We start from the raw sequence: 21,085 nt of genomic DNA on the forward strand, positions 1-21,085 counted from the left end.
GACTATTATTTCTCCAACATATTTCAAGGCTAATAAACTAACTCACTGTATACATGTGGATCTGTTTTTGGGCTCCCAATTCTTTTCCATTGATCTATTTTTTCTCTCCTGAGCGAATACCACACTGTATTAATTATAGAAAATTTATAATAAATGTTGATCTCTGGTAATGTAAGTCCACCAGTGTTGCTCTTCATCAAATTTTATCATCACACATAAGGGACTTTTTTTTTTTTTTTTTTTTTTTTGAGACAGAGTCTTGCCCTGTCGCCTGGGCTGGAGTGCAGTGGTGCGATCTTGGCTCATTGCAACCTCCACCTCCTGTGCTCAAGCGATTCTCCTGCCTCAGCCTCCTGAGTAGCTGGGATTACAGGTGCCTGCCACTATGCCCAGCTAATTTTGTGTATTTTTAGTAGAGACGGGGTTTCACTATGTTGGCCAGGCTGGTCTCAAACTCCTGATCTTGTGATTCAGCCACCTTGGCCTCCCAAAGTGCTGGGATTAGGACTAAGTTTTATAGGGAAAACATGTAAGCTAAGGGTCTGGAAGAGAAGGCACAGGACCACAATTTCTCATACCACTTGAAGAAGCACCAGGGCCTGGGTGAAGCAGGAAATAGACCACACCTCACCGCTATGTTTTTATCCTTCTTAAAGAGCAATTGTGAAGGCATCCATGTTGGTGAGGGAACAAATTGACTATGCAGGTAATCTGGACTACTTAACTAAAGCAGACAATCTGGCTTTAGTTGTCAGAGCTTCACAGAAGTTGCATGAGAAAGCCAGGTTCTAACACCTCCCATCAGGAAGAGAAAGCCGCTGGGAAGTTGAGTTCATGTAAAGCCCTTCCCACTGAAGAATGTGGGAGTCTGAGGCCCCAGATAGCTCCTCACCTAGGCATCCCAAAGGGAACTCCCAGAATTACCTTTGGACAATTCTGGTCATTGCACACAATTGTTATTGTGAATGAAACATTTTGGCTACATTTTATAAAAGACTCTTACATAGTAATGCTATGAATTTTCACATGCCAATTTCGTGTGAAACCAATTTGTTGACCCGATAATTTTAAAACAGCCTTCAATTGGTCAAATTTTACAGGTGGATTTGAATTTTATAAGTAAATAACATTATTCTCTAGCATAAAAATAGTATCTTCCTTTTCCTTCCAATGATTATGTCTCAACATTTTTTATTTTGTCTTAATCTCACCCCATGAATCTGGGCCAGTGTTGTGACTTGCTTTAATCATTAAAATGTGGTGAAAGTATCATTGAGCCTGTTCCCTGATGAGGCCTTAAGAGATCACAGCTTTTGCCCTTGAAACCCTGGCACTATGGGACCAACCCTCGATTGGTCTTCTGGAGGGTGAGAGACCATGATGACAGAGAGAACTTCGTTGTCTCATCTATGACCATCATAAAACAGCCAGGCCCAGATGAACCATCAGCTGACTGCAGATGCATGTACAAAGCCCAGTTAAGATAATCTAGCATGTCCCACACCAGAACTGCCCAGCTAAGCCCAGTTGAACTTGCCAGCTCACACATCATGAGCTAAATAAATATGTATTTAGAGCTACTCAGTTCTTGTGTGTGTTATGAGGCAGAAGCTGATAAGCATATTTAGGATAAATTATACATGAGCGAGTCTGTTACGCTTTTATCAAATCATTGGATTTGACATGCTCATATTTATTTAGGATCTCTGCATCTTCATTTGTAAATGAGATTGGCTCCCACTGATTGGGAGCTAGACTAATTTCTGCTTTTTCCATGCTACTTTGCTACAAGAGGAAAAGCAAACAATTTTGTGAAGTAGGGAGACATTCCTGTTAGCATCATATATTTAAAAAGCTTAATGTGATATGCAAGCGCTGCTCCCGGCCAAACTAGAGGATTGCCTGGGACACCTCCACCAACACTGAGGGCTGATTCTGTCATGAAGGAATGTTGCACCCATTCTAAACCCCAAAAGCTTCCTAGGATAATGTGTATCCCGGATTTTTTCTCTAACTTAATGTTTGCAAGTAGGAGTACTGGAGTATGTGGTGGACATGGACAATAACATGTGGACATTTTTATAGGTCTAGATCATTGTTGATGGAGCCATGTTATTCCATTATATGGGATGCCCTAATTTACTCAATCTCTTATACATGAACCTTCAGGTTGTTTACAGTCTTCTCATTGCAAAATTCTTAGAACATATTTCTTTCTGAAACCATATTTTCCCCACTCATGTAATTACATCCTAAAAATACATTCTGAGAAGCAGGATCATTGGCTCAAAGACAATGCACATTGTACATATGATACATATAGACAAGATCCTCTCCAGCAACTTTGTACCTGTTTTTCTTTCCCCCACCAACTTATGTAAGAACACTCATTTCCTCATTTCTACTGACATAGAATTTTTAAAATATTTCACTATTATCCACCTGATCAGTAAGAAAATGACACTTCAGGGATGGTTTTATTTGCACTTGAATGGCTGTTCTGTTTACAAACTATAACTAGCAGGAAACTGTAATGCAAGAAAAACTAGGAATAAACCATGATCCAAATGAAGAAACCTATAAGTCAATTAAAACAAAAAAGGACACTGTTTTTGAAGGAAAAAAAAAACACCTTGTGGGATGAGTGCAGTGGCCCAAACCTGTAATCCCTGCACTTTGGGAAGCTGAGGTAGGAGGATCGCTTGAAACCAGAAGTTTGAGACTAACCTGGGCAACAAAGTAAGACCCCATCTCTACAAGTACAATTTTTAAAGAAAACATCAGCTGAACACGGTGGTGTATGTCTGTAGTCCCAGCTACTCAGGAGGCTGAGGCAGGAGGATCACTGAAGCCAGGAGTTCAAGGCTTCAGCGAGCAATGATCAGGCCACTGCACTCCAGCCACCTGGGTGACACAGCAAGACCCTGTTTCCAAAAAAAAAAAAAAAAAAAAAAAGCAAAGAGATCTCCTCTCGAATTCATCTATTATCCCCAATTAAATGACAAATTTGGGGGGAAACTGACAGAAAGAGCATCCTTTAAAAACCCATTATTATACAGGTCTGCTGAGAAGAAGACTGCATCAGTCTGCAATGAACACTGTTGGTTTTTTACATGTTGTTGGTCACTTTAGTAAATGTTGATTTTATTCAATTAATTTTATTAAGACTAACCACAGAACACCTATTCTAGTTAATTTTTAATCGCATTTAAGGTGTGAGCTGACAAACCTATTCAGCATCCCACATTATAGAGTTTCTCTATTATATGAGATTTCTTACGTCGGTGGGTTATACTTTTCAGTAAAGTTTTACCACAGCTATATCATCTGGAACATTTCTCTTTGGTGTACTCACCAATGAATGAAGGTTATCACTGAAGAAGTCCCATCCATACCATTTTAGATGGTTGCACTGCCACATCAAGCCTTAAAGATTTAAAAGTTTTGAACTCTGAATTATGTTACTTCTGTATGTGGACTCCAATGACAATGAAACATATTGCTATAAAATCCCTCCATGCTAGTCAGGATAGCCTAGGCAATGCTGCAGTAATAAATAAACCACCAAAAATCTCAGTGGTGAGACACAATGAACTTTTATTTCTTACTCTAAAAAGAAATCCAACACAGATGAAGTAGTGACCTTCTATCAACCCAGTCTGGAATAAGCAGCCTCCAAGGTCACCTTGGCAGGGATAGAGAAGCCTGAGGATGTTTGTAAAGGCTAGACCTGAAAGTGGCTTATATCACTTTTGCTCACACTCCATTGGCTAGAACTCAATCACATGGGCACACTCTTAACTGCAAGGGTTACTGGGAAATAGACTTCTTATTTGCAAGGAAATGGAACCAGTGTGATAAACACAGCACTGCCTCTGCCACACCCTTCAAATGCCACTTCTATGGAGCTTCTTGCCTGTGTAGAGAATCTCATGGAAAACCTGGGTACTAACGTTCTTTCATAGTAAGAGCATGGGTTTCATTTTTGAGCACACTTTTGAATGTTCTTCATACAGAGAGTATTTTTCTACTGGGGACTAAAAAAAAATCTAAAGACGTTGGCTGAACTGAAGACCTTACCATGATCATCCCAATTAGAATTTCCTTCCTGGACACACCCTTTAATGGAAATTTGACCACTAACTACAACCACTACCACAAACCACCCATTTGTCAAAAGTAACCTCTTTGCCATTGTAGCATACAGCAGTTGATGGGAGCTTCACAGAAGTTCTTGAAATCCACAGTCCTTGCCTGGCACACTTCAGTGCTGCAGGCTGACATTATCGATGGCAGTGTCCCTGTCTTTTGCTCCCCTAGCCCTCCCACAGGCTGAGTAAGCCTCTATCATCTGGAATACAGTGTGGCTTCTGTTTTACTAATTGAACCCTGACTTACTACATTTATAATGTTTCTCTCTGCTCATGTAGTCTTTGATGAGTCAGAAGGTCCTTTCCACGCTCACAGTGTGTGTACTGTGTCTCATCTATATGCACTCTCTGATGGGCAAGGAGGTATGAATTACGACTGAAGCCCTTACCACATGCCTTACACTTATAGGGCCTCTCTCCTGTGTGGACTCTGAGGTGAACATTAAGATCTGAATTCCGGCTGAAGCCTTTACCACACTCATCACATTTATATGGTTTCTCTCTGATGTGATCTCTTTGATGTAAGTGAAAATATGAACTGTAACTGAAGCACTTTCCACACACTTCACATTTATATGGTTTTTCTCCAGTGTGAACTCTCTGATGAGTGTGAAGAACAGAGCTATACGCAAAATCCTTTCCACACACATTGCATTTGTATGGTTTCTCCCCTGTGTGGACTCTCTGGTGAATGTGAAGGTGTGTACATTGGCTGAAGCCCTTTCCACACTCACCACACCTATATGGTTTCTCCCCTGTGTGAAACCTCCAGTGGACTTGAAGAACGGAGCTTGAACTAAAGCACTTGCCACACTCACTGCATTTGTAGGGCTTCTCTCCAGTGTGGACTCTCTGATGGACAAGAAGGTTGGAGCTCTGATCAAAGCCCTTCCCACACTCTTCACATTTATAGGGCTTTTTCCCTGTGTGTACTCCCTGATGAATACAAAGAAGTGACCTAAATCCAAACCCTTTCCCACATTCATCGCATTTGTAGGGCATCTCCCCTGTGTGGACTCGATGATGGTTGTGAAGGGAAGAGCTGCGCCTGAAGCCCTTGCCACATTCTTTACATTTGTAGGGTTTGTCTCCTGAGGAGACTTTCTGATATCTGGGAAGGTCTGAGCTCTGTTTGCAGCCCATAGGCCATTCGTGGAATTCATAGGGAGTCTTGCCAGAGTGAGTTTTACAATGAACGATAAGATCTTGGCTCTGACTAAAGTTCTTTCCATACTGGTCACATTTATAAGATTTTTCTCCTAGGTGAGTGCTGTGATGGACATGAGGATCTGTATCATCTGCAAAGGCCACCCCACAGTTATTACATGGGAAAGGCTGTGGTAATACATGGGCCGCATTACGTTTTTCAACCGTTGATTTCATACCCAAGTTTTTCCCACAGCTGGGATGTCTACCAGGGTCCTCTCCTTTACATTCTTGGGACTCATGATGATCACATGAGGTCCAACTGAGGCTGTCATCATGCTGAGCACGTCTGTACAATTTCTCTTCCATGTAAATTCCCTTATATCTTCCCTGAGAGTTCTGGGGCTCGGTCATTATGTTGGCTTTCCTCCACGATTCTGGGGTAAGAACCTGTGTCAGGCTTTGCCATGCTGTGATATCTTGATTTTTGATAATGGCATTTACTACATAGTTTTCATTTTCAGAAATCTGAAGAGAAATGCCTGCCCACTCTTCACTGAGGGAAACATCTTCTAAATGTGGGGAACACTCTTCTTGAAGGTTCACGATATAATCCTGACTCACAGTTAAATCCCGGATCCTTTGTTTCCAAATCTGCCAGCAATGAAGCACTTCTTGCGAAAGGTAACTTAACCCCTTTGCCTGAAGATTCAAAATGTTGTTTTTAATCCCGTCTCCTAGGAGAAGAAAGAGAATTTGGCTAAGAGAACAAGTCAATCATCCATCCAGAGGTTTTGAGAAAATGTAATATGATGGGGTGGGAAGTTGTCCCTGGGTTCTATTGACGTATGAAACAATTAGAGCCACGGTAATTCTAACCTGTGAGCTGCCAATTAGAAATCAAGTGTTGTAGGGAAATTAAAAGAAATCTTGGCCAGGTGCAGTGGCTCATGCCTGTAACAGCAACACTTTGAGAGGCTGAGGTGGGAGGATCACTCAAGCCCAGGAGATCAACACCAGGCTGGGCAATATAATGAGATTCCCATCTCTACAAAAAAATTAAAAATTGGCTCAGTTTTGCCTATGATCCCAGCTACTTGGAAATCTGAGGTTGGAGGATTGCTTAATCCTGGGAGGCACAGGTTGCAGTGAGCCAAGATTGTGCCACTGCATTCCAGCCTGGGTGACAGAGCAAGACCTTTCCACCCCCACACCGCAAAAAGGAATAAAAGGAAATCTTAGGAAAATTTTATGAAGGAAGAAATTCACCTCCCTGCTATAAGAGTAGTCGATAAAAAGCCTTTAATAATCTTGCTACAAAAGGTATGGGAAAGGCTCCCATTTTATGTAGTGTGTGTGTATATAAATAATACATATTGATGGAGTGTTTTTTATATGTTGGGCAGAGTAAGGGACACAAAGGGTCACAAGAGGTTTCAGAAACAAGCAACAAGTCCTATCTCCTGATGGCTTCCCTTCCTTCACATCACTGTCATATGGAGGACTATCACGTATGTTTGTGTACAACCTGCACAACTGTACATGATGAGCCTTAAGGGGATGGGGATAAAAAGGCAATGGGGATTGAAATGGGGTAAACATTGTGAAATATGATCCTGGCGTTGTGCGGGGATGCGTATGTAAACCTCTGAGACAAGCTTTAAGAGACATCCTTTTTATTTTCCCCAAGGTTCTTTGTCTTCATGAAAAGATAGAGACCACTCAGATCCTACAATCCATTTCCTTAAGTTCTGCCCTTTTAAGTTGTTGCAGAATCTCAGACAGCCATGACTATGAAAATGGGGAACAGATACTGTGGCACTGTCAATGGCCTGGCACCCAGGGAAGCAAGACTGTGGTATATAACAAACAGGGGGCTGAGGCAGAAGAGGATGATCATATTCTTGGGATCCTAAGATGGGTTCCAAAATGGCATGAATATCATGGTCAAGTCCCACTGGATACTGCTTCTGGTTCAAGGTCCTTTCTGCATTGTTTTATTGAAAGTGACTTTAGTTTATAAGATAGTATCAGGGAAAGGGAGACCATGAGCTGCCCCGAATGGGCTTTAAGCAGTGGTTTCCCAATTGTTTTGATTGTAACCCACAGTAAAATCAGCATTATGACTCAGTAGGAATAGGCACGAACATCAACAGAGACTGCTCACTAAAACAGAAGTTTTATCAGCTGATACTTACATACGATGTGCAATACACTTCGATAAATTCTTCTGTTTTCTGTTCTATTAATCTATTTTTTTTCTTTCTTTCTTTATTATTATTATACTTTAAGATTTAGGGTACACGTGCACAATGTGCAGGTTAGTTACATATGTAAATATGTGCCATGCTGGTGTGCTGCACCCACTAACACGTCATCTGGCATTGCTAGTTATGACACAGTAATTTGATTTCAGGACTCACCAAGAGGGTTTTATCCTGCAGTTTGAGAAACAACTGCAGGGATATGCAGATTTATGCAAAAGGTCCTGTGTCTACAGTTTACACTTTGGTTTCAAGAGGTTATTTATTAAAAACACAGGACCTAGGGCCAAATTAGGATGGCTCAAATCCGAGTTCTTCTTATAAGCTGTGTGATCGTGGGCAAGTTATTAATTCTGTGACTCAGTTGTTTCATCCATTGATATGGTTTGGCTGTGTCCCTACACAAATCTCTTCTTGAATTGTAACTCCCATAATTCCCACGTGTCGTGTCCCATAATTCCCACATGTCAGAGCCCCCACACAGAGTCCCTACTAGGGCACTGCCTATTGGAGCTGTGAGAAGAGGGCCACTGTCCTTCAGACCCCAGAATGCTAGATTCACTGACAGCTTCACTGGGTGCCCAGAAAAGCCACAAACACTCAACACCAGCCCATGAAAGCAGCCAGAAGGGAGGCTATACTCTGCAGAGCCACAGGGGTGGAGCTGCCCAAGACCATGGAAACCCACCTCTTACATGAGTGTGATCAGGATGCAAGACATAGAGTCAAAGGAGATCACTTTTGACTTTTAAGATTTGACTGCCCTGTTGGATTTCAGACTTGCATGGGGCCTGTAGCCCCTTTGTTTCGGCCAATTTCTCCCATTTGGAACAGCTGTATTTACACAATGCCTGTACCTGCACTGTATCTAGGAAGTAAATAACTTGTTTTTGATTTTACAGGCTCATAGATGGAAGAGACTTGGCTTGTCTCCGATGAGACAATGGACTGTGGACTTTTGAGTTAATGCTGAAATGAGTTAAGACTTTGTGGGACTGTTGGGAGGCATCATTGGCTTTGAAATGTAAGGACATATGATTTGGGAGGGGCCAGTGGTGGGATAATATGGTCTGGCTGTGTCCCCACCCAAATCTCATCTTGAATTGTAACTCCCAAAATTCCCATGTGTCATGAGAGGAACCTGGTAGGGGGTGACTGAATTATGGGGGCGGGTCTTTCCTGTGTTTTCTCATGATAGTGAATGAGTCTCATGAGATCTGATGGTTTTAAAAAGGGGAGTTTCCAGCTGGGCACGGTGGCTTGCACCTGTAATCCCAGCACTTTGGGAGGCTGAGGCGGGTGGATCACGAGGTCAAGAGATTGAGGCCATCTTGGCCGACATGGTGAAATCCCATCTCTACTAATAATACAAAGATTAGCTGGGTGTGGTGGTGCATGTCTGTAGTCCCAGCAACTTGGGAGGCTGAGGCAGGAGAATTGCTTGAACTTGGGAGGTGGAGGTTGCAGTGAGCCAAGATAGCACCACTGCACTCCAGCCTGGCTACAGAGCCAGACTCCATCTCAAAAAAAAAAAAAAAAGATTTCCCTGCACAAGCTCTCTTCTCTTGTCTGCCACCATGTGAGACATGGCTTTCACCTTCCACCATGATTGTGAGGCCTCCCCAGGCACGTGGAACTGTAAGTCCAGTACACGTCTATCTTTTGTAAATTGCCCAGTCTTGGATATGTCTTTATCAGCAGTGTGAAAACAGAGTAATACATCCATAAAAGGGGGATAATAACAGTAACTATCTGTATTAGTCCATTCTCACGTTGCTAATGAAGACATACCCAAGACTGGGTAATTTATAAAGGAAAGAGGTTTAATTGACTCATAGTTCCATGTGGCTGGGGAGGCCTCACAATCATGGCAGAAGGTGAAGGAAGAGCAAAGGGACATCCTACATGGTGGCAGGCAAGGAGAAAGCCTGTGCAGGAGAACACCCATTTATAAAACCATCAGATCTCATGAGATTTATTCACTCTCATGAGAACAGCATGAGAAAGACCCCTGCCCCATGATTCAGTTACCTCCTACCAGGCCCCTCCCACAACATATGGGAATTATAGGAGCTACAATTCAAGACGAGACTTGGGTAGGAACATAGCCAAACCAAATCTGTATCTCATAAACTAAACTTAGGTAACATATAACTGTATATGAACCTCTGAGAAATGAAAAGGAGTTTAGATATTTATCAAAAAGTAATCATATAAGCCAACACTTAGATTACACTTACTACATACCAGTAAGTGTTGGCTATTGTAACTGCCAACCAAACCAAAGTTCTCCCTTGGTTCCTTTAACACCGGTTTATCCAAAACATTGGATAAACATTGGTTTTTTTCTCCAGAAGCAACCAATAGATCAAGGCCCTTGGTAATGTGTGAATTTTATCAGTCTCATTCTGAGAAATATGAGGAATGAGAGCCTAAATGTGTGAGTAGGGGAGGGAGGGCTTACTTCCTGCACTGAATGCCCACAGGCCAGGGGTATGAGATTTGGGGAGAGCTCCCTCACAAACCCATCACAAGGGGCCAGATCTGTAAAAGCTCATTAACTGTAGGTTTCTAACCTGCACATGCATCTCTTAGGAGTTTTCTTTCCAGTGGCCAAAGTTTCTCTTTGTGGTCTAACTGGAATATTCTATCTGGTTTGAAATGATGATTTGAGGAAACAGGTCCAGTGGTCTCATGCTCAGTTACTCACTCACTAACATGAGGTTCCTGAAGTTTTCCAGCATCACATCTTGGTACAGGTTTATCTGGGCTTTATCCAATAGTGCCAGCTCTTCCTTGGTGAAGACAACAGCCACATCCTTGAATGTCACCCTTTCCTAAAACATCAACCACATGCCACGTCAATCATCCACACAAATGACTGGTCTTAGTCTGTTTGGGCTGCCTTAATAAAACACCACAGTCTGATTAGATTAAACAAAATAAACTTATTTCTTCCTGTCCTGGAGGTTGGAAAGTCTAAGATCAAGTACCACCAAGATAGGTTTCATTCAGGTTTCTTCTCTTGGCTTGCAGACAGCTCTGCTCTCACTGTGTCCTTACATGGCAGAGGGAGAATGAGAGCAAGCTCTGTTGAGGCTCTCATAAGGACACTAATCCTATTGGATCAGGGATTCCCAAAGGACAGTATTAATCAAATTATAAAATATGGCCCAGGAAATAGGCACAGATAAATCTATACTAAGGTGTTGTGCTGATACACAAGTCTAGTAGCATTTCATGAGTTCATTTCTCATCACACACCAAGATTTAGTATTTTCACTTTTTCATGGCAGATTAATCTATTTGTATTATGTTAAAAGGAACTAAGAAGACAGGGTAACTAAAAGCATTGGCTCCTAGATTCAAAAAACACAAAAGAGAAATGGGAGATTATTAGGATAATTAAGAACACTTGGATATCAACTAGGTATTAAAAAATAGTGGTATCAATGTGAAATTTCTTGAGTATGTTAGCAGTAATGTGGAAATGTAGGAAAATGCTCTTATTCTTAGGAGATACAAACTGAAATATTTAGGGATGAATTATAGTAATGCCTGCAATTTATCCCCAACTGGGTCAATCAAATAAAATATAGACATGTGTGTGTATATATGTATATTATACATATGTTTGTGGGTGATTGTTAACAATTGGTGAATCTAGGTGAAGATTACACATTATGCTATTCTTTCGTTTTCCTGATAAATTGAAATTTCTCAAAATAAAAGGATGCGGGTAATCATCTGGTATTAATAACCATCTCCTCATGTGTCTTTTGGCAGCACAAATGTCTTCTTTCGAGAAGTGTCTGTTCATATCCTTCACCCACTTTTTGATGGGGTTGTTTTTTTCTTGTAAATTTGTTTGAGTTCATTATAGATTCTGGATATTAGCCCTTTGTCAGATGAGTAGATTGCAAACATTTTCTCCCATTCTGTAGGTTGCCTGTTCACTCTGATGGTAGTTTCTTTTGCTGTGCAGAAGCTCTTTAGTTTAATTAGATCCCATTTGTCAATTTTGGCTTTTGTTGCATCATCACTGGCCATCAGAGAAATGCAAATCAAAACCACAATGAGATACCATCTCACACCAGTTAGAATGGCGATCATTAAAAAGTCAGGAAACAACAGGTGCTGGAGAGGATGTGGAGAAACAGGGACACTTTTACACTGCTGGTGGGACTGTAAACTAGTTCAACCATTGTGGAAGTCAGTGTGGCGATTCCTCAGGGATCTAGAACTAGAAATACCATTTGACCCAGCCATCCCATTACTGGGTATATACCCAAAGGATTATAAATCATGCTGCTATAAATACACATGCACACGTATGTTTATTGCGGCACTATTCACAATAGCAAAGACTTGGAACCAAGCCAAATGTCCAACAACGATAGACTGGATTAAGAAAATGTGGCATATATACACCATGGAATACTATGCAGCCATAAAAAAATGATGAGTTCATGTCCTTTGTAGGGACATAGATGAAACTGGAAACCATCATTCTCAGCAAACTATCGCAAGGATAAAAAACCAAACACCACATGTTCTCACTCATAGGTGGGAATTGAACAATGAGAATACATGGACACAGGAAGGGGAACATCACACACCAGGGACTGTTGTGGGGTGGGGGGAGTGGGGAGGGATAGCATTATGAGATATACCTAATGTTAAATGATGAGTTAATGGGTGCAGCACACCAACATGGCACATGTATACATATGTAACTAACCTGCAGGTTGTGCACATGTACCCTAAAACTTAAAGTATAATAAAAAAAAAAGAAGTACTGAAATAACCTATTGGGTATTATGCTGATTACCTGGGTGACAAAATTTTACACCAAACCCCCGCAACACATAATTTACCCACGTAACAAACCTGCACATGTATCCCTTGAATCTAAAATAAAAGTTGGAAAGAAGAAAAGAAAATTTTAAAAAATTAAAAAAACCATCTCCTCATCAAGAAACCAATTTTTACATAAAATATTTCTATGGCTGCATATATCGCACTGCTCAGAGTTAAGTATTTACAGATATGTTCTCTCAATAGACTCTGCATCTCTAAATAAAGCAGAGGTTTCAAACAAAAGTTGTAAGCAGTTACAAAGGACTTCACAAGAACATGTTACTAACAATTGTCCAATTACCAAAATCTGACAATGATTAAAAACAAAATCTAGGGGAGTCAGCACGGTTGTCCTAATAGCACCACTCTCTCAGTAACACTACTGTATGCCTTCTTCTGTGGGAGGCAACAAAATTGAATTGGAGATAATCATTCAGGAAATACAGATACACTGAAGCTTACTTGGGGTGTTCCAATGTAGGAAGAAGGAGTTAGGAATAGAGGTTCACACAGCCTACTCCTCATTCTCCCTTCTCTGCCTCAGCTATAGAGCCTGGGAAAACAAAACACTCATTTCTCCACCACCCTTGTAGCTGGATGGATCCCTTGTGGGAATCCTAGGCAGCGATTGTCATAGGATGCAGATACAAGGACAGCCCCAAAATATTAAGAAACCAAATTTATAAATGAATAAACACATGCAAAAATCTTTAAATCTTTTCCTCTATGAAGTATTCTTGTATAACCATCTATGAAGTATGAATCTATTCAAGCATCTGGTGCTTCCACTTACAAGAAATACTGTGGATAGAGTAACACACTGAAAGACACCAAAAGGAAGCAAACAAATGCATTCCAAATGTAGGAAAGAACACAGGACACCAAACTTGGTTTCTGCAACAAGTCAATAGCAGGAGAGAATAAAGTAGAGGGGCAGATTTCTCTAGATTAAAAGACATTATGAGATACAACAACTAACTGTATGATAGTATAGACCTTGTTAAGATCCCATTTGAACAAACCAACTGTTAAAAAATTTTTTGAGATAATCAGGGAAATTTGATTATTGTCTGGGTATTAGATAATACCAAATAATTATTGATTATTTCATTAGTCCATTTTTAAGGAAATATATACTGAAATACACAGAGAGTGTGGTAAGTTAGACTGCTGTTTAGAAATATCCTCTTCCATGCTCTCCAATCCCACTAAAGGACCAGAGTGTGTTTCCTTACCCCTTTAGTTTTGACTTGGCAGTGTAACTTATTCTGGCTACCAAAATGAAGCAGAAGTGATAATGTGCCAGTTCTAAACCTGGGCCTTGACAGATCTCACATGTCCACTTGCTCTCTTGTCCCTCTGTCTTCACTATGAGGACACAACCAAGCTAACCAAAACGAGCAGAGTGCTACCAAATATCCATGGCATTGGCTTTAGGTCCAGGCCATAACCATTGAGGACACTGTTACAGGAGGCTGGAAAAATGGTGACCTGGGTGATGCAGTGGTGAACATTTGGTGAACTGTTGCTGTAATTTAGAAGATAGAAAATGTACCTAATGAATCTTGGACTTGGGCAAGATGGTTTCCAGGCAGCAGGATAAAAGTGTGAACTCATTCATTTTAGTTGCATATATAATAAGGTACTATACAAAAGTGATATGCTCAGAGAAAAACCAATACCATGTGAAATACCATGCCTCTTTCAAATACTTTGGGAAAGAAAAAAACTGAAAAAGAGATTAAGCAATTCTCTTTGGCAAAAAGTTAATTGTTGAAACTGCATGATGGGTACTGCAAATGGAGGATCATAATACCATTTGCTCTTTTTGTGTATTTTCATAATTAATTTTTTTCATGATTAAAAGAAAATCCTTCCTCCACACTGTGATGGTCTTTCTAATGTGTCAACTTGGCTAAGCTACAGTCCTCAGTTATTGAATCAAACACTAATCTAGGTATTGCTATGAAGATAATTTGTAGATGTGATTAAAGTCCATAATCAGTTGACTTTAAGGGAGATTATTCTAACTAATCTGAGTATGTCTGATTCAATAAACTGAAAGGTCTTATGAGCAGAGCTGAGGCTTCCCTGGGAGGGGGAGAAATTCCACCCACAGACAGTAGCTTCAGTCTGTGTCCAAGAGTTCCAGCCCACCCTTCCTGAGGGGCTGCCCTGTGGATTCTGGACTTGCCTAGTTAGCCCCCATAATCATATAAGTCAATTCCTTATGATAAATCTCTTAATATATATCTCTTACTGGTTCTGCCTTGCTGACTGAACTCTGACCAATACATACCCATTCAAATCTTGCTACTTATTGAATGAGGCCAGTCACATTTAGAGTATGGTCACGTATATGCTGCCCATGCACTCGGATGCTGCGGCAACACCAAATTTCTGTAAGTTTCTGAACTTACTCTTGATTCTTTTTCCCTCATCGGGCAGTGATAAGCAGTTCATGGACTGGTACTGATACATGAACTACACTTAGAGTAGCACCAAAGTAGACATCTTGAAATCTGTGAGTTTGTTTCTTCACTTCTATAAAGGGAGTCAAACCACCTGCCTCACAAAGTCATTATGAGCAGATAAAGTACCTAATACATAGTAGTCACTCAAAAAATGCTGACCTCCTTTCAGAAAACAGAAGTGTCTGGTTCCTCAGAATGAACAGCATATTTAAAGAGAAAGAAACCCTTAACTTACCTGGAACTTAATCATACCGTCTTCCTTTTGGAAAGGGCAGGATTCTGGAAAAGCAGAACTGCAAAGAAGAAATAATCCATGAGATCATGGGTTCAACAAGTTGTGAATGAACATTGGTTCCTTCCTTATCTGTACAAGTTTCTCACAATTTCTCCTCTCACTGGATATCATCTCTTCTCGCTCTGAACAGACTGAACTCCCACCTCCTCAAGACTTCCCTAGATTTGTCCCCAGTCCCTCAATCTCAGACCACTGTGTAACTCCTATCTCTCTCCTGAAGCTTTTGGGTCAAAACCTGCACATTCTTTTCCTTTTCTGAGACTTGTGAATGAACTGACATAATCTACATCTCAATTATGCTGGAAAAGAGGCTACAGAATTGCTGAATAAGGGAGCAATCTCAGGGCTGGGCACAGTGGCTCACACCTGTAATCCCAGCACTTTGGGAACCCGAGACGGGTGGATCACTTGAGGCCAGGAGTTCGAGACCAGCCTGGACAACATGGTGAAACCCTGTCTCTACTAAAAATACAAAATTAGCTGGGTGTGGTGGCGGATGCCTGTAATCCCAGCTACTCAGGAGGCTGAGGCAGGACAATCACTTGGGAGGCAGAGGCTGCAGTGAGCTGTGATTGCACCACTGCACTCCAGCCTGGGCAACAGAGACAGACTTTGTCTCAAAAGAGAAAAAAAAAAAAAACAGAGGAAAAAAAAAAGAGAGAGCAATCTCAGGATGACAGGGACCTTCTGCTATTTCCACTTTCGCATGCAAGACTTGATCTTGTATGGCCAAGCCTGTGGTCTAAAGAACATGCCGTTAGCCAAAATATACAAATTAAATCCCAATTTTTATTATTATGTTAATCAATAATACAAATTTTTAAACATCTACACCTTGACTCTTGGCTTCCTAAACTATCTCTCCAGCACCCATTCTATCCCCTGCTTTTGCAAATATTGATGACACACCTATGACATATAAGACACATTCTCTGTTCTGGAAATGCTCATGGTATACTGAACTACACATGTTCTCAGACTGCAGGTAGACCAAAGTAGGTAGACAGAGGCCTTCTAAGCTTGCCACTTCATATACACTAAAGCCCCTTCCTGTTCTGCTTATATCAGTGGATTCCCTTGCCAGTTAGCTTCCAGTTGGGTTCAGCCAATGGGGAAAGCCAGCAAGAGATCCAGGGAAGGGACAAGAGTGAAGTCAGAATATTTATTCCCCCAGGTTTTTCCCTAGAGGTTGCTGTGGAATGGCTATATTCCATATCCATTGACCAAAGGTCATGGCCTCCATCAGGCAGCTGTCATCCCATAAATCTTTCTTCAGGTTTTAGCAACTGCCTCCTCCCTTAGCCCTTCAGTCCTAAAGTCAGTAAGTTACCCTGCTATCACTAGCTCTGAAATATTGCAGTATCCTTTGTTGATTACCACAGCCTGCCTACAACTTTATAGATTGTCCCTTTATTAAGCTCTTCTCAAATTACCCAATTTGAGTGTTCTGTTTATTTTTTATTGGGATTCCATCTGATAAACCCTGTAAACACAATTGCCTCTGGCCTTTGTGGAGAAACTTATTGTATAAAATTGCCACTTTAAGCACTGTGGAAACACCGAAGATTAAAAAACAAAAGCCCAAAGCCATGTTTCTGCCTTCTCAGATAGTGCTTCTCACACTATCTGTGATAAAGGACTAGTTTTTAAATTATTATTACTGTTACTTTCAGTCTGTCACAGACTGATATTCTGGTAAGATACAGTAACAAGAAATTACCAGAAAAAGGAAATTTAGAAGGTATGCAAATTAAAGCCCAATTGTTATTATTATGTTAATCAATAAGACAAAATTTTCAACATCTACACTCAAGTTCTCAAATTATCTGGTCACAGACCAATATCATTTATTGGCACTGGTCTGTGGGCTACCCTTTGAATTGCAGCTCACAGGGTTATAGAATCAGGTTAATAGAATGTGAAATGTCTTTTTGGTAAATCCTTGGACTCTTTTTCTCTCCTTTCCTACCTTTAAGAGACATCATTAATCACTTCTTATTTTGGGCTCCAACAAAGGCCAAAATAAGGAGGGTTCAACTCATTAGTACAGCATGAATTACATCGTTTTACAATAGTTAAAACCTACCAAGAAAACACTCCTCCTTTCCCCTGTCAAAAAACTACAAATCCTAAAAAAAAAAAAAAATAACCAAGCTGTAGTCTTTTATCCACTGTACTTGGTAAGGATCTTATCATTTAACAAGCACTCAATCAATGTTTCTCAATATTAACAAATGCACAAATAGAATTGGCTTGGATATTATACATTAGATGCACGTGCAAAGACATAAACTCACCCTCTACTTCCAGTACCTGTTCTCACTGAAGAGCCAATAATGGGACAGGTTTATTTTGAAGCACACATCCACACACATGCACTCACACATATATGGTTGGGGGTTTGGTTTCCTGAATTTCTGGCTTCAGACACTACCTGCCTGTATCAAGTCAGGGCCGTGGCACGAACCAGACGGCACATTGAAATTTGAGGAGAGTTTAATAAACAGACGGCTTACAATGGTGTTGGCTCGGGGTAAGGAAATCACAATGGATAAGGCTCTATCCTGGGGAGTGACAGGGAGGTGCCATTATAATACCTGGGCCTTAAGAGGTAAGGGGAGGGAGCAGTCCCTGGAGCCTGGAACTAAGAGGACTGTGTGGCCAGGGCCACCCAAACTATGACCTGTTGTTTAGAAGGGCAGCTAATCTGTGACAATCCTGCAGAGAGAGAACTGGGGGACAAGATACTCCAACTCACACTTCTTCCTCTCTCCAAACTTTCCTGTTGAGACTTCCCATTGGCCAAAGACAAGCAAGGCCAGAAGGCAATGGCGGCCTTTCAGGGCAGACAGCAGGGTGGAAAAGGTGGGGAGCCAAAGGCATGGGACACATGGCACCTCAAGACTCTTGTTTTTTCCCTATCTGCCAAAGTCCACACAGCTCTCGCACACAAATGCCTTTCTCATCCCTCACCCTGACAACTACTCTGATCTGAGGAATGCATCAGGAATGAGACCAGATGCCCATATCAACTTCTTCAGGGAATGAAGACCTAGAGGAAAAGTGCAGCTGAATCTGGAACTGCAATTGCCCAGAAACACGATCAGAAATGTAATAAATGCTGCTATTACACCTAAAATAATTAACACTAAATCTCTAACTTTATCAAATATACAGAGAGTGTTCAAACTTCAAATTTGTTGAGTGTAATTTAACAACTTATATTTGCTAATGTGCTTTATAATACTCAAAGTCCCTACTCCCTGGCTCACAGCATGTGAGGTGAGAATGGAGTTAATAATTTGGGGCAGTTCTTTTCTTTTCTTTTTTCTTTGAGACAGAGTCTGGCTCTGTCGCCCAGGCTGGAGTGCAGTGGCGTGATCTCAGCTCACTGCAAGCTCCGCCTCCCGGGTTCACGCCATTCTCCTGCCTCAGCCTCCCGAGTAGCTGGGACTACAGGCGCCTGCCACCGTGCCCGGCTAATTTTTTGTAATTGTTTTTTGTAGTAGAGACGGGGTTTCACCGTGTTAGCCAGGATGGTCTCGATCTCCTGACCTCGTGATCCGCCCACTTTGGCCTCCCAAAGTGCTGGGATTACAGGCGTGAGGCACCGCGCCAGGCCTGGGACAGTTCTTTTCAAAATGTATTCGGTGACATTAAACTCTGGAGTTATTACAGTATTACAGTCTGAGTTGTTTCTTTATTGCCAAAAGCCAGAACCTCTGCCTTGAAGTCATAAATGCCCCAATGGAGTCAGAGCTGCCAAAATCCAGAGTTCAGACCCAAGACAACTCCCCATCCAAGAACCTAGGGGTGCTGAGCCAGAATCGCCCCCACCAAACTGAGCGAGAACAGCCGAAGCCATCCTCTATATCCAGAGACTAGCTGCTTAAGCAAATCCCTCATCCCATTCAGGGACGCACAGTCCAGCCATTACTCCAAAACCCTGAGCCAGCGCCCCTCTGCCCTCATCCAGAGATGCACATCCCAAGACTGACCCTAAGCTTCGACCCGAGGAGGCACAGCGCAAGTCGCTGTCACGAAACGTGAAGATGCACTGTTTTGTCAAACCCAGGGCTGCTCCCCAAACCGAGCCCACGCTCGAGCCCACGCTCTTCCCATCCTATCCCGGGTAGGTCGGGCCGCTGAACTTCCCTAGTCTACCCCACCTACGAGGCCTTATCATTGGTTACCAGTCCCCTCTTCCACTCCTCCTACTTCAGTCCACAGGGACGGGTCACAGCTGCACATCCTACACTCCTACTCCTGGCTACGCCTCCAAGAGGGGCGCGGTACAGACGGGACTCACCCCAGCGTCCCAAACAATGTCGCCCGCAGCGTGCGTCCAGTACCATGGCGCATGCGCAAGGAGGCCTATGGCCTACAATCCCCAGAAAGCCCCGCGCGCAGCAGTGGCCATTCGCAAGGCTACCCTGGTGAAGGTGGCCTTTGACTTCCGTGCATTTGGAAGTCCTTTGACTTCCGTGCATTCGTCTAAAATAACGACAATCATAATAACGATAAAATAATGAAATGTTAAATAAATCACTATCAACGATGAAAAGAAGTTTCAATATTTTACTACTTGGAAATGGGCACTTTACCGTTTTAGTGAAGACTTTTATAAGTTCTTATTTTATAGGCATGTCTTTTAACGTTAAAACCACGAAACTTTTCAATTAACACTCACTTAAATAATTCCCTCCCCGCCCCCCACCATGTTTTATTTCTGTTGATGAAAACTCTGGATAATCTACACTTGCGATATAACATAGCCCTGTAATTTATTTCCTAGTCTCAGAAGAAGCAGAAGGAATTAACAACTATTGTCTGAATCCTTAACAGGGGAATTGCAGGAGTACTGAGAGTGTCCTAAAAGAGACACATTACAACATAACAAGAAAACGCGGGAAGTTTTCAGATTCTTTTTGAAAATTTGCCCTTGTTGAGACTTAGGCTTTATTTTACTTCATGTTATTGCATTTAAGATTTAAGATTTCTATTAAAGAAAAATTTGGGTACCCTAAATGGGGTAAGAAAATTGAATAGGAATTCCATTAGAGGCCCACAGTTTTAGCCTGGAGGAAAGCCCTGATAACGTGTGAGAACAATCTGTCTCCTAGGAAAGGTCACCTGGTCCTGCTGGCAGAGTCTCTGTTTGGAATATCTGGCTGGCATTCCCTTTTCCACGCACCCTCAAGCTGTAGGGGTGGTGAGGCGGTTCCAGTCCTAGACTAGATAGAGAAGTGAAGACCCCCACCTCTACGCAATGGGCAGGAAATGGTTGAATAATATCCAACTATAGCTTGACATCGCAGCTTAGGGCACATAAAGGGACAGTGCAATTGTTTTGGCTTATCTCTGTCTTTTGATGTTTACATGTTTGATGTTCTTATATATTGCTCTAAGTTGAAGGATTACTTGATTTAATTTGACATACTTGAATTTTAAAAAACGAGTTCAGGAACATTTTTATTTTTGACCTAATACAAGGTTAATTTTTGTGACATCTGTGTCTGTTGGAAAACAATGTGTCTTCTCTATCAGATGGATATGCATACATTTATATTTTCCCCAGACTTGCTAACTGTGCTATTTAAATTTCCTACATGCTTATTTGTGCTTACTTAGATTTTTTCATTATGCATCTGTCAACGATTGAAAAGTGCATGTCAAAAAGGTTCCCAGTCTGGGCGTGGTGGCTCAAGCCTGTAATCTCAGTACTTTGGGAGGCCGAGGTGGGCAGATCACGCGGTGAGGAGTTCAAGACCAGCCTGGCCAAGGTGGTGAAACCCCATCGCTACTAAAAATACAAAACTTAGCCAGGCATGGTGGCAAGCACGTGTAGTCCCAGCTACTTGGGAGGCTGAGGCAAGAGAATCACTTGAACCCAGG

The 21,085-nt window shown here is 41.7% G+C and overlaps 1 protein-coding gene across 5 annotated transcripts, besides 1 other annotated feature; it reads right to left on the reverse strand.

The window, feature by feature from the left end:
* Window positions 1–229: 229 nt before the first annotated feature.
* Window positions 230–19,540, reverse strand: ZNF285 (zinc finger protein 285). Of its 5 annotated transcripts, none has more exons than NM_001291488.2 (5): window positions 19,500–19,540; window positions 15,131–15,188; window positions 12,452–12,472; window positions 10,272–10,398; window positions 230–6,034 (listed from the first exon to the last, which is right to left on the reverse strand). In NM_001291488.2, the coding sequence occupies exons 2-5, from the start codon at window positions 15,143–15,145 to the stop codon at window positions 4,404–4,406; spliced, it is 1,794 nt and encodes a 597-aa protein (NP_001278417.1). In that variant the 5' UTR covers window positions 15,146–15,188; window positions 19,500–19,540; the 3' UTR covers window positions 230–4,403. The 5 variants fall into 5 exon arrangements, with proteins under 5 accessions (NP_001278417.1, NP_001278419.1, NP_689567.4 ...); NM_001291490.2 differs by having other exon boundaries at window positions 10,138–10,398; NM_152354.6 differs by lacking the exon at window positions 12,452–12,472.
* Window positions 18,937–19,693: an enhancer, noted in NCBI's record as "H3K4me1 hESC enhancer chr19:44905171-44905927 (GRCh37/hg19 assembly coordinates)". NCBI's record gives its function as "activates a minimal SCP1, AML or CMV promoter by ChIP-STARR-seq in primed H9 embryonic stem cells {active_cell/tissue: H9 hESC(primed)}" and the evidence as "EXISTENCE:reporter gene assay evidence [ECO:0000049][PMID:30033119]".

The sequence above is a fragment of the Homo sapiens genome, chromosome 19 (genome assembly GCF_000001405.40).
Source record: "Homo sapiens chromosome 19, GRCh38.p14 Primary Assembly".
NCBI lineage: Eukaryota > Metazoa > Chordata > Mammalia > Primates > Hominidae > Homo > Homo sapiens.

Coding starts and splice junctions, on each gene's coding strand:
- ZNF285 (NM_001291488.2), bottom strand. Junction 10,399..12,451: donor TTCAAGGGATACATGTGCAG/GTTTGTTACGTG, acceptor TTGATGTTTTAG/GAAAGGGTGACATTCAAGGA. Junction 6,035..10,271: donor CAGGAACCTCATGTTAGTGA/GTGAGTAACTGA, acceptor TTCTTCTCCTAG/GAGACGGGATTAAAAACAAC.